The 18,689-nt window shown below is 35.6% G+C and overlaps 1 protein-coding gene across 14 annotated transcripts in view; it reads right to left on the minus strand.

The window, feature by feature from the left end:
• Window positions 1-18,689, minus strand: part of LINGO2 (leucine rich repeat and Ig domain containing 2) — a 1,275,985-nt gene that overhangs the window by 355,798 nt on the left and 901,498 nt on the right. For all 14 annotated transcript variants that reach the window (NM_001354574.2, NM_001258282.3, XM_047422814.1 and 11 more), the window contains one exon: window positions 1,794-1,952. The gene's annotated coding sequence lies outside the window, so the exon portion shown is untranslated. The remainder of the gene's footprint in view (window positions 1-1,793; window positions 1,953-18,689) is intronic.

An 18,689-nucleotide genomic window follows, 5' to 3' on the forward strand; every position in this document is an offset into this window, starting at 1 on the left:
ACTTTTTCTTATTTTTCTTTATTCCCTTTGATATACACAATCAACACACAAATTCTTTTAAATTGTAAATGTCTGTTTAATGACTCAGGATACAGTTTATCTTGGTAAATATTACCTATGCAGTTGAAAAGAATGTATATTTTGTTGTTGGGTGGAGTGTTCTATAAATGTCAACTAGATCCAGTTGATTGATGGTATTGTCCAATTCTTCTAAATCCTTGCTGATTTTCTGTCTGCTGGTTGTAGTACTAAGAGAGGAATGTTAACGTCTCCAAAAAAAATTTTTTTTTAAGTTTTTCCTTCTAACTCTGAGGTTTTGACATGTAACCCAATTTTGTGGTAAATTCTGAAATAAAAATAATTAGGATTAACTCTAAGACTTAAAGGTATAAGACTATGGAAGTCTATCCCAAAGTATTTTCGCTACAGTTATGTGTTAGATGCCAATGCTATGAAGCATAGAACTCGGTTTCACTTTCTTCTACTAATGTATGCTGTGTTTTGATGTCCCTTTCATTTACAGACTGTCAGAAGTCTTCTAAATGTGAGTAATCCACTTTGCCACTAAGCAAGACAAAAAAATTATTCACCAGCTCAGTTCATCAAATAAACATTTCTGCCATGAGATTGGTAATCTACACTATTTCAAAAAATTTTTAAATTTGTAGATATTTGGGTTTTATACTCTCATGATATCATCTTATATGCAAATAAGTCATTAGGGAATTGAAAGTTAATGTTTATTAAACTTTAAAAGATTGTTTTCAAACACTTCAGAAGTCTTTATTTATATCCAAATAATTATGTCAGGCTATAATTTACTGACTGAGTTCCGTTTACTTTATTTTCAGAAAGTATGAAAGCTATATTTGTAAAAAGCTTAAGGTGCTCAAGCATTAGTGACATAGAATAATCTCCATCCATTGCTTTCTAAATAAAGGAATTTTACATACTTTTTTCCGTTTCTATACTTGAACTTAAAGAAAAGCTTGCTTTGCAATGCAGAAAATTCAAATAAACTGTTAAAATTTCGACAGTCTTAGAGTCAGAAGACAATAATAGCTTGTAGTTTCTTCAGGTAATTATGGACAACATATTTAATTTATGTTGTAGGGGAGGAAGCGAGTTAAAGAGAGAGATAAGAAGATCTGACCAAAATATGGTTAACAGTTGGGAAGAGTTTCCAGCATGTAATAGAAAAAGGAGATAAAAGAGTACTTGAATAAGAGTGCAATGTTTTAAATCCTCAGAGCCAAAATAATACAGTATGTCATTGTATCACCATCTTAAATAACAGGTGAATAGATTTGGAATGATAAATACTTTCAAAGAAATAAAAGAAGAACAATGGTATAATCTTCTGAATTGGAGTAACCTTGAAGCACATTTATAAGATCATATGCCATGAACTGATATTCACTTCTATATTGTGTAAAATATAAATACTTAACGGCAACACTTTCTCTAATGCACCTTCAAAAGTACAACTGTTTATGCCATTAGAGTTCAGAATAGTAGCTTAAAGAGGAAATCTTTATAGTATTGGCCTCTACAGTATTCATATGCCTGCATTATGTGTATCTTAAAATAGCTCCTTTCTCCTCTTGAGAGTAAAGGGACTCAATTATTACTATATGCATTCTCCTAAATCCAAGGGAGCCCCATTCTTTAACAACCTGCTCTGTGGACTTAGAAAACAAATAGAAAAGCTATACATTATTCATATATTTTGGCAGCATACTGAAGCCCTTAGAGCAAGTAATAAATGATCAGATGTCTCCCTCGAACCTTACCTGGTTTACTCTTTTGAAAAATCCAACCCTTGCCGTCTCCCACACAAAGCTCTTGGCCACTGGGTGAAATCCAAGCTGGGTAGTTGATCATGATAATTCCCGCATGTCATGGGCAGCAGCATCTCTCAGAGTCCCACAAGCCAACTGCTTGAAACGAACCTGCAACAAACAAGATATTTCTCCATTTTAATTGAAAAATAGTGAACCGTGTCCTAGGTCCAGGAGGCATCACAACTTAATCAATAAGGGAATCATAAAGGAGTGTGTGAGGGACTATAAATGCTTCTCAAGATGCTGATAAACATTAAAACTGGAAGACTGAAGTTTATGTGCTACAAAAGGTGTTTTTTCCAAGTGCATGTCCCTCTGCATGTTGTTATTGATCTACTCAAGCCATCAGTTATTAATGAACATTATTGATATTAAAACTCACACATCCTATATAGTATGTACCGCCTCTTCTTCAGGTAGGTGACCAGTTGGGGTACTCAGAGTATTCTTCTACTTTACCCATAATATTCTCAGGGTAACTGGGCAATGGGATGCAATAGGGCAAAACCCATGAGCAGTTAGAGCGAAATCCACAAGATTGTGGATCAAGGACAATTTCCTTTGTGATTTCTGATGCTCCAGTCAATGTGAACATTCCCTGTATAAATGTTGGGTCACCTTTCTAGGATAATGTGTGAGAAACAACTTTGAGGGACATATGTAAGGTGTTGCAAATTCAGCAGCCACCATTATTGATATCAACATACAGACTGTATGACAGTAAGACAGTACTGTAAGAGAGTAACCAATGTAAATGCATTGTAGCCAGAGTGGGTACACAAAGGAATGACCAGACTCAAGAAAGTAATTAGACAGCTAATTTGGGGGCAATGTACCACGTATTTAATGATTCAGTTGTTTATGTCCATGAATAAATATGGCATTTAAACTTAATTAGCATGTTTGACTTTTATTCATACAGAGAAAACCTATGTATAATCAGTAACCTTTATTGGACTGTTATCTGACACATAAACAACACTTCAATAGACGATCAGGATGATATTAATGAACAGAAATGCTCACTGGTCTTCCCAGGGTAGCTCTTAAAAACTATTAGATTTTTTATAACTATAACAACCATATTTAGTAATACATATACAGAAGCAAATTTATTACTATTATTTTCTACGTAGTGCACAGAAAGGGCTTAGAGGTTATTCTAAGTCTGTAGGGGGACTTGTGAATAACTACGTTCTGAAGATTCATGGACACAGGTGCAAAAACTGATTTTAACAAGCAACAAAATAATAAATCCTCATGCACCTGTGATTAGAGCTTCACGGATTCCCAGAAGTCAGTGTGGAGACTTTGTTAAAAGGCACAACAGTATGATATCCTATTACACCATTTCAGCCACAATGCTAAGATGACAAAGGGTTCAAGTGGAACACATGCCTTGCACTAGAATGCAGCACTTCAAAATAATTCCTTAAACAAAGAGGTGTATATGTGACACTAAATGACAATACTGCAATTCAAAGCAGGAGCGTTATGTTGATGCTATTAGATACCCATAAATATCCACACCCCCTCAACACACACACGTCTAAAATTTTTGTATTTATTGATCCAAGTTGTGGTACTTATTAACCTATAACCTCAGTCAACTTCTAGATGCAAACTGTTTTTATTCATGCCAACATTTTTTTCTACTTCCTATCTTCTTTGAAGATCTTCTGGAAATTATCATATCACTTATTTTATAAAACAAACCTGTTTTCATGAATGATAAACCTTTTTTGGTCTTTTGGCAGCCATGAAGGATATTAAAAGAAGCCGTATACTAGTGGACCAGATGACAGGGAAGAGTTTATAAACATAATTTCTAAGCTTCCAAACTGGGTTTGAAGTGAGAAATTTTTGAAAGCTACTTGCTTTGGAAGCACTCATCAGTGACTTAGCGCCACTTCTCATACTTTGGTTCTGCCACTTATTATAAAAAAAGTGAAAATAAGTCAGTATAACTACTTGCTTTATAAAATGGCTATATTTTATTACACAGAAATGATGCTATTGATCCCTCCTCAGAAGGGGTAAGTTTTGTGTATTTTCTTTTCAGCAGTGATGATTTTCCACTAACTTTTGTTCATTTATTTATTTATTAGCCCTCTTATTCATTCCACACATTTTATTTGAGCACCTCTGTTGTGCCAGGCATGGGATTTGGTGCTACAGGTACAAAGCAAAAAGACATAAGTTCTCTTCATGAAAAGATTATCACTGATTCTATTCTGTTTAACATTTTCTTGTAACCAAGAAAGGCAGCAATATTACATCCAATCAAGATGATTAGCCTTACCTTATGAACAATCTGCTATGTGACCAGAGCTGGGAAATTCATGAGGTTTGTCAGTGAGTAGAGCACTATAGGCCAAGGGAAAATCTACAATATAGAAGGATCAATTCACATAGCTAATGCTTGTGAGGTTGTTATTGGATGTGATAGCTTTGTGTCACTCTTATATCTTCTTCCACAACCTCATGTAGCTGAGTTAAAATGAATCAGATAATCCAACCAATTAGGTTTTGATAGTACAATAACATCTACGGCATCAAACACAAGAGTCACTGCCTTCCAACTGTTGTGTAAGGAATTACAGTACAATCCTGTGTGCTCTGCATCACATCCAAGTTAACAGACTTTTGTGTGTGCGGGGGTAGGGGAAGATGCTATTGTATAAGTTGCTTTACACAATTTTTGTATGATTATTCTATTTGTTTTCTCTAAAAGGAGATACAAAATTAAATGCATGTATTCTCCTTGAAGAGAAGTCTATGAGGGGTCATAAGAAGTACCAATTCCATGACATTGGTTTGAAACTGTATCCTGTCACCAACTTTCATTATGAAAAAACACGCTTCAAATAATTTTTCACTTATCTCTCTCCAAATATGTTATTAATGAGAATACAATGAAAACAAAAGGTAGGCATAATTATTATTTAAAATGCTCTTAGATAGTAGGTGACTTTTTTTTACTAAAATCAATATGATTTCCAAAGGATTTAATTATTTTATGTTTTGAAACTCTGCTATTACTGGGATGCATAGTATGATAACAAGATATTTTCTTTAATGCTTTCATTTTTTTGAGAAACTTATTCTTTTAAAAATGAATTTGGGGCTGGGCGCAGTGGCTCACACCTGTAATCCCAGCACTTTGGGAGGCTGAGGGGTGGATCACGAGGTCAAGAGATCGAAACCATCCTGCCCAACATGGTGAAATCCTGTCTCTACCAAAAAAAAAAAAAAAGAAAGAAAAAAATACAAAATTAGCTGGGAGTGGTGGTGCATGCCTGTAATCCCAGCTACTCGGGAGGCTGAGGCAGGAGAATTGCTTGAACCTGGGAGGCAGAGGTTGTGGTGAGCCGAGATTGTGCCATTGCACTCCAGCCTGGGCAACAAGAGCAAAACTCTGTCTCAAAAAAAAAAAAAAAATCAGAATGAATGTATTTTCTTGTATGTAAATTACACCTCATTAATGTTGACTTAAATGTTCTAAAATGAATTTTTGACAATGTGCAAACAGGTTCCAGATAGGGGCATGGCATACAGAAGTGATTGATAAATCACTGTTGTACATTAATTTAAAACAAAACAAGACCAAAATAACATTTGGAAAACAAAGGAGAAGAAATTCTAACATGTACAAACGCTGTTTTCCTGTTTGTTGGCCTGGCCCTAAGTGCCAGTTGAATTTTGGTATTCTTTGTCTTTCCTTATGCACAACACTACTACCCTTTTAGTATACCTTATTGCTTTGAAGAAAGCTTTTCAAAGGATCCCCTTAGCACTTAGGCACTCATTTTATAGGCTATTGATTTGCACTTGTTGACAAGTTGTTTTTTATACGTTATCTCAGCTTCATCTTCCCCGTGGAGACATGTTGCATAACCCTCTAGGTGGCCAACAGAACTATAAGAGTACTCAGCATTCAGTGAGTTCAATGCATTTGTTAAATGATTGCTTGATCTTGATATATTCTGGAAGCTTTGTGTCTAAGTCACTCATTTTCCCATACTAACACAGAGAATATAATAATCAAGAATGTAAAAACAGAGAGATTATAAATAATCAAAATTATGAGGCTTTCTACCTTAAAAATGTCAAATTTAGCCTTTTCTGTCAGTAATTTTAGGGAAAGGGTAGGTTTGGCCATTTATTATTCACAAAATTATTGCTTCTAATTTTTTTTTTCTATTCATTTAGTCTGATGAAAAGGTCAGAAAGTATTTCTCAGTAGGCAGAGGTCATTAACAACTACCACTAATACTTGTAAATGTTGTTGCTATCTATTTTATATGTAGTTTCTTTTTAATTGTCTCCCAAATTATGAGAAGTTTATACTATAATAATGCCCACTTTATGGTGATTAAAATAAGAATCAGAAAGTTTAAGTTACTCACCCAAGGATATAGAGCCTTTGAAAAATGGAGCTGTGATTTCAATGCAGTTAATTGATAGTGCTGTACCGTATTAACTCAATTAATGATAAGTTCCTAGAGACTGAATCTGAAAGATTCACTCAATTTATAGATGAAAAACTTAGTCCCAGGGAAGTAAAGTGACATATTAGAGGCTACTCAGATCTCAATAGGGTCTGGAAAAGCATTTAAACCCATGATACTCCTGTCTTTCCAATACACCACTTTCTTACCCAGCTTACTCAGCATGGTGTCCAAACAACTTTATAGATTTCCAATTCACTTGATTTTTTTTGTAAATGGTGTTTCTGGTAGGTTTTATTTCATAAAGAAGATACCAAAGCCAACAAACAAAATAACAGGATTTTGAGATACACAGTTTTAAATGAATTTAATTTTGAAAGCAACAGATGACCTTTCTCTCTCTCATTTTTCTAATGGAAAAAAAAAAAAAAAAACAAAGACACAAAGAGAAGACTGTGTTGATAGACTATGACAAAACCCCTGATTAGATTAAAGTATGAATAGCACATCAGTGTTTTGCTGATGAACATTTTGTATGTGTAGCTACATTATTAGTAATCACAAGCTGCAAATAATCTTGCAAAATACTCATTTGATATCATTTTCATTTCAGAACCCAGCAGGAAGCCCTTCAAGTGACATAAAGCAAGATCTAAGGTAACGCTATCAATCACTGAGAACGCAGGGCCTGATACTCAAGCACAATTCTCTTTGTTTTTGTCTTCGCTCAAAGATGCCTAATTCTGAATTTGATTATGATCTAGAAACTTTACCAATTAAAATAGGCCACATTCTTGTTTTCATTTTCTCAAAATGAGGCATCCATTTGTCACATTCCCACATTTTCCACAGTTGAAACTTGCCTCTGTCCTTTTTCCTTCCTTTCCTGAGTGTTTTATCCCTTCCTGCCTGCTTTCTTCTTTCTACCTTTTCTTCCTTCCTCCATTGTCTTTTTTCTTCCTCCCTTCCATCCTTCTTTCCTTTCCTTTTCACCTTCTTCATTTCAACAAATATTTAAACATGTTTTAAGTTCTATGCAATATGCTAGGCTCAGAGGACAAGGCAAGACACTTAGTTCGTGTTCAAGTATTGCTCATAGTCTAGTAGTGTGAACGGGGAAGTAAACCAACAAATTATGGAAGAAGAGTAGAGGTGCAACCTACATTGAACATGTCAGAACATGTCAGCTTTGAGTAGAAAATAATTCATAAATTGATCCTGATTGGTTTGGCTTGGCCTGGTCAACTTAGAACTCACAAACAAAATATAATTATCATTAGGCAGTTTCCAAATACTTCATATACTCTGAGTTTTCTATGATTTAGAGAGAGATCTTTTAAATTCTCAAAGCTCACAAACTGGAATGCCTCAGAGCCAAGTGTATCTCTTAAATGTAAATATAGTGTGGCTGACTTTGACAAGGAGCCAGAGAGCCACAAATGGTGAGCTGGAGAAAGTAAGCTTAGACTAAGGATATTACAAACAACATTTGAAACACCATTTTGCCAGAAAGAACACATTTTTGGACTGGTTTTGGTCCTTGGCCACCAGTTTGAGATCCTCCTTTGTAACTATTGAGGAGTCACCATCCACTGCTCTCTAGATATAGTATAGGTCCCATTTCCACTGCCTTTGGCAAAATCCATGACAAGTTAAAAAAAAAAAAACAAAAAAAACAGAAACTTCTCCCTAGAAATCCTTTCTAGTGGGGAAAAAACAACTTCTGAATTAGCTCATCAAAATTATGAGAGTGTTGTTGATAATGTGGGTTCTTGGGCAATGCCCCAGAATTAATGAATCACCATGTCTAGAGTGAGACTGGAGATTCTGAAGATGACACTTCCCTAGATTACACTTAGACACACTCATGTTTAAGAACTCTTCTAGAACAAAGCCATTTTTTAATTTTTCCAGCATTTTCCCACAACTTTTAATGTAAAACATTTATTTCTCTTTGAGTTTCAGATAGCCTATTTTGGGGGAAAATGATTCTTCCATGAATTGCATAAAGTGAGAAATGGCCTTTCAATTCTACACAAGAAGATCATCCCTAAAATACATAATCATCAGGTTTTCCAAGGTCTAAATGAAATACAGAATGTTAAAGGCAGCTAGAAAGAAAAGGCAGGTCACCTACAAAGGAGACCCCATCAGGCTAACCATGGACCTCTCAGCTGAAATCCTACAAGCCAGAAGAGATTGGGGGCCTATATTCAACATTCTTAAAGAAAAAATCTTCAACCAAGAATTCTATGTCCAGCCAAACTAAGCTTCCTCTGTGAAGGAGAAATAAGATCATTTCCAGATAAGCAAATATAGAGGGAGTTCCTTACCACCAGACCTGCCTTATAAGATATCTTGAAAGGAGCACTAAATGTAGAAAGGAAAGACCTCTAGCAGCTAATATAAAAACACAGTAAATACACAGACCAGTGTCACTACAAAGCAGCCATATAAACAAGCTAATGCAATCAAGTTTTTATTGGTGTAAGGCAGACTGTGCCTAAAATGGGAAACAAGAAATGATGGAGGGTAAGTGGTCTCACCAGGACTTACATTTCATGAAGAAGAAACTGTCATCTCTCTATATAACCACCCTCAAGAACAGTGCCACTGCATTAGTTTGACAGCAGTACCATTTCCTGATGGGATGTAGTTAGCATATTTGAGATATACAACCCCTTTTAGGCTGGGAGCAATGGCTCACACCTTTAATCCCAGCATTTTGGGAGGCCAAGACAGGTGGATTACTTGAGCTCAGGAGTTCGAGATCAGCCTGGGCAACATGGTGAAACCCTCTCCCTACAAAAAAGTAGCTAGGCCTGGTGGCACACACCTGTTGTCCCAGCTACTCAGGAGGCTGAGTTGGGAGGATCACCTGAACCCAGGAAGTTGTGGCTGTAGTTAGCCCTGATCACACCACTGTACTCCAACCTGGGCAACTGAGTGAGAACCTGTCTCAAATATATATATTATAACCCCTTTCAGCAGGGTGATGGTAGTAGGGATGAATCAAAAGTAACACAATATTCTAAAGAAGAGAGATGGGAAAATAATAAGTATTTGGCAAGTGACCATTGAGAATTAGTGTGTCACATTGTATGCTTTACATACATGTTCTCATTTAATCTTCATAAAAAACCTGGGAGACAGGTACTACTTCCATTTTGCAATTGAAAAGCATGGGGTCAGAAAAGATAAGTAGCTTGCTTAAGGTCAAAAAGTTACAAGGGAGAATTAAGATTTAAACTTGTGACTTGTTAATTGTATAGGTCTTACGCTTTCTAGCACAATAAATGCTCTGTATGTCATTTGTCCTATCAATTTGCTTTTGATTTCCCACATCAAGAATAAAGCCAGATCAACCCATTTCTTTCTCTATTTCTAATAGTTCCTTCCCCTAAACACTATATTCCACTTTATCCCAATATCAGGTATATACAGACAAAATACAAGAGAGACAATGTCATGGACAGCTTGTGTATATATGTGTGTGAATATGATTTTATTTGTTTTTGTTTTCATTTAGGCTTTCCATAAACCAACATGCTCCTCTTTCTACTAATTCTCTGATTTTTATTAGGAAGTTGTTGCTGAGGATAATCTTGGAGGGAAGGAAAGACCTTCTTTCTACTGCAGCCTGGGAATGAGAGGGGCTTGGATGTGACCTAACTCAACTAACATGACCTAAATATGAAAGCTTGAGGGAGTGACACAAAGGTTTTTTAAACTGTAGTTATATATAAAATTGACCCCTGAACAACATGTGGATTAGGAACACCAACATCCTCATGCAGTTGAAAATTTGTGTACAATATTTGACTCCCCCAAAACTTAACTACTAGCAGTCTACTCTTGACTGGAAGCCTTACTGTAACATAACAGTAGATTAACACGTGTTTTGTGTGCTCTATTTATTAAATACTGTAATCTTACAATAAATTAAGCTAAAGAAAAGAAAATGTTATTAAGTAAACCATGAGGAAGAAAAAGGTATTTACTCTTTATAATAAATACCTTTATGGGTTATCATAAAGGTCTTCATCTTCATTGTCTTCATGTTGAGTAGGCTAAGGAGGAGGAAGGGAAAGGGTTGGTCTTGCTGTCTCTGGGGTGGCAGAAGAGGAAGAGGTAAAGGAGATAGAAAAGGAGGCAGGAGAACCAACACACTGGGTATAACTTTTACTGACAAAAATCCACATGTAAGTGGACACAAGCAGTTCAAACCTGTGTTGTTTAAGGATCACCTGTGTATGTGTGTGTATGTGTACATATATATTTACATTATACAGACATTTATAAGGATAGATGCATAACAATGATAGCTAAAGCACTGGGTTTCCCTGCAATATGATCTAGGTGCACAAGCTTCTTTATTCCTCTCCATATGCCTGTTTTGTGAGATGTGGATCTCCTTCTGATGAATTCTTTTTCTGCTTATGACAGCCAGAGTCATTTTCTAATATTTATAACAAAAAATCCTTACTGATACAGAAATTTGTTCTTTGAAAATTTTAAATAATTAAAAAATTTAAAATGTATATATATATATAAAATGTATAATTCTAAAAATATACTTCACCTGGCATAGAATTAAATAGCTACATATATGTATAATTTGTATAATTACATTATATACACATATACTGATTTATAAATATATACATGATATGTATATATATGTAATTAAATGTTGTACAATTTACAGAGAGTGAAACATAAGATTTTATGTATACACTTGGATCAGTTTTAAGAAATCAGTATATCCCTGAAACCAACACTTAAATCAGGATATAGAATATTTCTGCACCCCAGAAAGCTTCCTCATATCTCTTCCTTTCAACACACACCTCTCACAGGCAATTAGTATTCTGGTTTTAAAAGATTTGTTTCACCTGTTCTTGAGCTTTATATAAATGGAATTATACAGTACACACATTTATATAAGTCTTTTTGTGGATATATGTTTTCATTTCTCTTGGAAGTTTACTTTTAGGTATTTGTTTAGATCTATGTTTAACTATATTAGAAACTTTACCAAACAATTCAAATTAATAGAAAACCTACTGGCACCCAGCTCAGAGACTAACTCAAAGTAGCATGGAGTATGTCGAAGAGAATAACAAAAAATAAAGCATGAAAAACAAAATTTGAATAAATAAACTGTAGCTGAGGTTATAATGCCTCTAGTAAAGTTAGCAATAAGATGTAAAGTCTTTATCAGTTATTTTAGAAAATACTTTAATTCTATTACTTATCAATGTTCTAGGAAGAATTTGGCAAATGACTTGCAGATAAAATGGAATAGCCAGAGCAACTTTACAATAAAGATACATTAAATTAAAAGAGATTTGCTTCATACAAAAGCAGTTGATGTAACCATATTAACCATACTAATAAACTAAAAAATAAAAACCATATGATCATCTCAATTGACATACAAAAAGCATTTGACAAAATTCAACATCAATTCCTCATAAAAACTTTAAACAAACTGGGACTAGAAAGAAATTTCTTCAACCTGATGAAGGATATCTGCAAAAACCTGGAGCTAATATTATACTTGATGAAAGTCTGAATGCTTTCTTATTAAGATCAGGAAAAGGCAAGGATGTCAGCTCCCATCACTTCTGTTCAACATTGTAGTGGAGGTTCTATCCAGTTCAGTACGGCAAGAAATAAAAGGCATCCAAATTAGAAAGAAAAATGTTAAAACTGCCTTTATTTGCAGATGATTGTCTAAGTAAAAATCTATTGGAATCTACACAAAAAGTACCAGAACTGATTAATATGTGGATTTAGTAAGGCTACAGAATAGAAAAATTACATACAAAAACCAATTGTATTTTTATAGTCTAGCAACAAAACATTAGACATTGAAATTTACACAAAAAAGTTCCCAATAATATAAAATTAAATGAAATACATGGGGATGACTCTTTCACAACGTACATACAAGATCTGTACACTGAGAGCTATAAAACATTGCTCAGAAAAATTAGAATCCGTATGTAATTTCTTTAAAAAATTCTGTTGGGATTGTGATTAGTCAGTTTGGGGTAAATTGACATCAACAATAATGGGTTTTCTAACCCATGAATGTGGCGTTCATTCATTCATCTGGTCTTTAATTTCTCTGGCTCCTTGTCAAAGTCAGCCACACTATATTTACATTTAAGAGATACACTTGACTCTGAGGCATTCCAGTTTGTGAGCTTTGAGAATTTAAAAGATCTCTCTCTAAATCATAGAAAACTCAGAGTATATGAAGTATTTGGAAACTGCCTAATGATAATTATATTTTGTTTGTGAGTTCTAAGTTGACCAGGCCAAGCCAAACCAATCAGGATCAATTTATGAATTATTTTCTACTCAAAGCTGACATGTCCTGACACGTTCAATGTAGGTTGCACCTCTACTCTTCTTCCATAATCTGTTGGTTTACTTCCCCGTTCACACTACTAGACTATGAGCAATACTTGAACATGAACTAAGTGTCTTGCCTTGTCCTCTGAGCCTAGCATATTGCATAGAACTTAAAACATGTTTAAATATTTGTTGAAATGAAGAAGGTGAAAAGGAAAGGAAAGAAGGATGGAAGGGAGGAAGAAAAAAGACAATGGAGGAAGGAAGAAATGAAGGCAGAAATAAGGATGTTCTTTGAAACCTACGAGAACAAAGACACAACGTACCAGAATCTCTGGGACACAGTCAAAACAGTGTGTAGAGGGAAATTTATAGCACTAAATGCCCACAAGAGAAAGCAGGAAAGATCCAAAACTGACACCCTAACATCACAATTAAAAGAACTAGAAAAGCAAGAGCAAACACATTCAAAAGCTAGCAGAAGGCAAGAAATAACTAAAATCAGAGCAGAACTGAAGGAAATAGAGACACAAAAAACCCTTCAAAAAACTAATGAATCCAGGAGCTGGTTTTTTGAAAGGATCAACAAAATTGATAGACCGCTAGCAAGACTAACAAAGAAGAAAAGAGAGAAGAATCAAATAGACGCAATAAAAAATGATAAAGGGGATATCACCACTGATCCCACAGAAATACAAACTACCATCAGAGAATACTACAAACACCTCTACGCAAATAAACTAGAAAATGTAGAAGAAATGGATAAATTCCTTGACACATACACCTTCCCAAGATTAAACCACGAACAAGTTGAATCTCTGAATAGACCAATAACAAGGTCTGAAATTGTGGCAATAATCAATAGCTTACCAACCAAAAAGAGTCCAGGACCAGATGGATTCACAGCCGAATTCTACCAGAGGTACAAGGAGGAACTGGTACCATTCCTTCTGAAACTATTCCAATCAATAGAAAAAGAGGGAATCCTCCCTAACTCATTTTATGAGGCCAGCATCATTCTGATACCAAAGCCCGGCAGAGACACAACAAAAAAAGAGAATTTTAGATCAATATCCCTGATGAACATTGATGCAAAAATCCTCAATAAAATACTGGGAAACCGAATCCAGCAACACATCAAAAAGCTTATCCACCATGGTCAAGTGGGCTTCATCCCTGGGATGCAAGGCTGGTTCAATATATGTAAATCAATAAATGTAATCCAGCACATAAACAGAACCAAAGACAAAAACCACATGATTATCTCAATATATGCAGAAAAGGCCTTTGACAAAATTCAACAACCCTTCATGCTAAAAACTCTCAATAAATTAGGTATTGATGGGACGTATCTCAAAACAATAAGAGCTATCTATGACAAACCCACAACCAATATCATATTGAATGGGCAAAAACTGGAAGCATTCCCTTTGAAAACTGGCACAAGACAGGGATGCCCTCTCTCACCACTCCTATTCAACACAGTGTTGGAAGTTCTCGCCAGGGCAATTAGGCAGGAGAAGGAAATAAAGGGTATTCAGTTAGGAAAAGAGGAAGTCAAATTGTCCCTGTTTGCAGATGACATGATTGTATATCTAGAAAACCCCATTGTCTCAGCCCAAAATCTCCTTAAGCTGATAAGCAACTTCAGCAAATTCTCAGGATACAAAATCAATGTACAAAAATGACAAGCATTCTTATACACCAATAACAGACAAACAGAGAGCCAAATCATGAGTGAACTCCTATTCACAATTGCTTCAAAGAGAATAAAATACCTAGAAATCCAACTTACAAGGGATGTGAAGGACCTCTTCAAGGAGAACTACAAACCACTGCTCAATGAAACAAAGGAGGATACAAAGAAATGGAAGAACATTCCATGCTCATGGGTAGGAAGAATCAATATCGTGAAAATGGCCATACTGCCCAAGGTAATTTATAGATTCAATGCCATCCCCATCAAGCTACCAATGACTTTCTTCACAGAATTGGAAAAAACTACTTTAAAGTTCATATGGAACCAAAAAAGAGCCCTCATCGCCAAGTCAATCCTAAGCCAAAAGAACAAAGCTGGAGGCATCACGCTACCTGACTTCAAAGTATACTACAAGGCTACAGTAACCAAAACAGCATGGTACTGGTACCAAAACAGAGATATAGATCAATGGAACAGAACAGAGCCCTCAGAAATAATGCCGCATATCCACAACTATCTGATCTTTGACAAACCTGAGAAAAACAAGCAATGGGGAAAGGATTCCCTATTTAATAAATGGTGCTGGGAAAACTGGCTAGCCATATGTAGAAAGCTGAAACTGGATCCCTTCCTTACACCTTATACAAAAATTAATTCAAGATGGATTAAAGACTTAAATGTTAGACCTAAAACCATAAAAACCCTAGAAGAAAACCTAGGCGTTACCATTCAGGACATAGGCATGGGCAAGGACTTCATGTCTAAAACACCAAAAGCAATGGCAACAAAAGCCAAAATTGACAAACGGGATCTCATTAAACTAAAGAGCTTCTGCACAGCAAAAGAAACTACCATCAGAGTGAACAGGCAACCTACAAAATGGGAGAAAATTTTTGCAACCTACTCATCTGACAAAGGGCTAATATCCAGAATCTACAATGAACTCAAACAAATTTACAAGAAAAAAACAAACAACCCCATCAAAAAGTGGGTGAAGGACATGAACAGACTCTTCTCAAAAGAAGACATTTATGCAGCCAAAAAACACATGAAAAAATGCTCACCATCACTGGCCATCAGAGAAATGCAAATCAAAACCACAGTGAGATACCATCTCACACCAGTTAGAATGGCATTCATTAAAAAGTCAGGAAACAGCAGGTGCTGGAAAGGATGTGGAGAAATAGGAACACTTTTACACTGTTGGTGGGACTGTAAACTAGTTCAACCATTGTGGAAGTCAGTGTGGCAATTCCTCAGGGATCTAGAACTAGAAATACCATTTGACCCAGCCATCCCATTACTGGGTATATACCCAAAGGACTGTAAATCATGCTGCCATAAAGACACATGCACACGTATGTTTATTGTGGCATTATTCACAATAGCAAAGAGTTGGAAGCAACCCAAATGTCCAACGAAGATAGACTGGATTAAGAAAATGTGGCACATATACACCATGGAATACTACGCAGCCATAAAAAATGATGAGTTCATGTCCTTTGTAGGGACATGGATGAAATTGGAAATCCTCATTCTCAGTAAACTATCACAAGTACAAAAAACCAAACACCGCATATTCTCACTCATAGGTGGGAATTGAACAATGAGAACACATGGACACAGGAAGGGGAACATCACACTCTGGGGACTGTTGTGGGGTGGCGGGAGGGGGGAGGGATAGCATTAGGATATATACCTAATGCAAAATGATGAGTTAATGGTTGCAGCACACCAGCATGGCACATGTATACATATATAACTAACCTGCATGTTGTGCACATGGACCCTAAAAGTTAAAGTATAATAATAATAAAAAAAAACAAAACAAAAATTAGGGTAAGCTAAGATTAATTTACTATTAAAGAAAAAATTTAAAAAAATTGATAAATTTGATTTAATTACAATTTAAAACGTTTTTGCATTGTGAAAACCAATTTTAAGAAAATGAAAAGAAAAGCCACAAACCAGGGGAAAATATATGCAAGTTACATAAAAAACTCGTGTAAAATACCTAAAGAACTCTCAAAACTTAATCATATAAAAGCAAACCAATTTAAAAAAAAAGGTAAAAGAGTTGATTTCACACTTCACCAAAGAGGCTACATGGATGGCACATCAGCACATGAAATGATGCTCAATGTGATTAGTTCTCCAGCAAATAAAAAACACCCCGAGATATTGCCACACAGCTATTAAATTAAATAAGATTAAAAAGGCTTATCTTACCAAGTGTTGGCAAGGGTGTGGAGGAAGCTAAACTTTTATACAGTGCTGGTAGGAGTGTAATATGACACAACCATTTTGAAGAGTAGTTTGATGTTCCTTAAAATGTTAAAGATACACAATTATATAATCCAGCTTAAAATGTTAAGCATACACAAATATATAGTCCAGCCATTCAAATTCTAGGTATTTACTCACAAGAAATGGAACATATGACATACAAACACTTGTCCACAGTCGTTCCTAGAAACTTTTTTGGCAGTTTTCCAAAAGCTGAAAACTACTCAAACATCCACCAACATGTGAGTGGGTAAACAAATAGTGTTATATCCATGGAACAGAATTATACTGCACAATAAAAAGGAATGAACTAATGGTGCATGCAATACATCAATGAATCACAAAATAATTATGCTGCATGAAAGAAGCCAGATTCTTCTGCAGCCCTCCAAAAAGAATGTATACTCTTCAACTCCATGTATATAAAACAGTAGAAAATACAAATTCAAATTAATTATGATTACAGAAAGCCATTCTGTAATCATAGCAGTTCTGCGCCTGAGGACGCAGAGAGGAAACAGGAAGGAAAAACTTAAAAGACACAAGAAAACTTGTGAGGGTGATGGATACGTTCATTATTTTAACTGCAGTGATGGTTTCATGGGTATATTCATGTGTCAAAACATAAAAGTGTACACTTTAAGTATATGCACTTTATTATATGTCAATTATAGGTAAATAAAGCTGATTTAAATAAACAAATGGGATATAAGTATAAAGTTTAATTTGAAAATTTCTTTAAAGTTAAATCTCTTCTATCTGTAGTAATTTATTAAGAAACATTGTCCCCAATCTGATCGAGAACAAAACTTTTTTGAGCACAGAAACTCACATCATTCTTTTAAGAAGAAATTTTAATGCTGATAACATGCTCAAGCAATTTTTAATAAAGTTCAACAATACTAATATTGGGGGAAATTCAGCCAGATATTGGGCGAAATTCACCCCCGATATTTCATGTAGATTCTTTTCTATTTTCTCTAAGTGTCAGCCGGTCTGAGAAATAAAGGGACAGAGTACAAAAGAGAGAAATTTTAAAGCTGGATGTCCGGGGGAGACATCACATGTCAGCAGGTTCTGTGATGCCCCCCGAGCCATAAAACCAGCAAGTTTTTATTAGTGATTTTCAAAAGGGGAGGGAGTGTGGGTCACAGAGATCACATGCTTCACAAGGTAATAGAATATCACAAGGCAAATGGAGGCAGGGCGAGATCACAGGACCACAGGACCGGGGCAAAATTAAAATTGCTAATGAAGTTTTGGGCACACATTGTCATTGATAACATCTTATCAGGAGACAGGGTTTGAGAGCAGACAACCAGTCTGACCAAAATTTATTAGGCGGGAATTTCCTCATCCTAATAAGCCTGGGAGCGCTACTGGAGACTGGGGCTTATTACATCCCTACAGCTTCAACCATAAAAGATGGCCACCCCCAAAGCAGCCATTTTAGAGGCCTACCCTCAGGGACGCATTCTCTTTCTCAGGGATGTTCCTTGCTGAGAAAAAGAATTCAGCGATATTTCTCCCATTTGCTTTTGAAAGAAGAGAAATATGGCTCTTTTCTGTCTGGCTCACTGGCAGTCAGAGTTTAAGGTTATCTCTCTTGTTCCCTGAACAATGCTGTTATCCTGTTCCTTTTTCAAGGTGCCCAGATTTCATATTGTTCAAACACACATGCTCTACAATTTGTGCAGTTAATGCAATCATCACAAGGTCCTGAGGCAACATACATCCCCCTTAGCTTACGAAGATGATGGGATTAAGAGATTAAACCAAAGACAGGCATAGGAAATCACAAGGGTATTGATAGGGGAAGTGATAAGTATCCATGAAATCTTCACAATTTATATTCAGAGACTGCAGTAAAGACAGGCGTAAGAAATTATAAAAGTATTAATTTGGGGAACTAATAAATGTCCATGAAATCTTCACAATTTATGTTCTTCTGCCATGGCTTCAGCCAGTCCCTCCGTTCGGGGTCCCTGACTTCCCACAACAAGTAAGGCTTCTTCTGAAATTAGCTAACCATTTATTGGTTAT

Source organism: Homo sapiens, chromosome 9, assembly GCF_000001405.40.
Source record: "Homo sapiens chromosome 9, GRCh38.p14 Primary Assembly".
Lineage (NCBI taxonomy): Eukaryota > Metazoa > Chordata > Mammalia > Primates > Hominidae > Homo > Homo sapiens.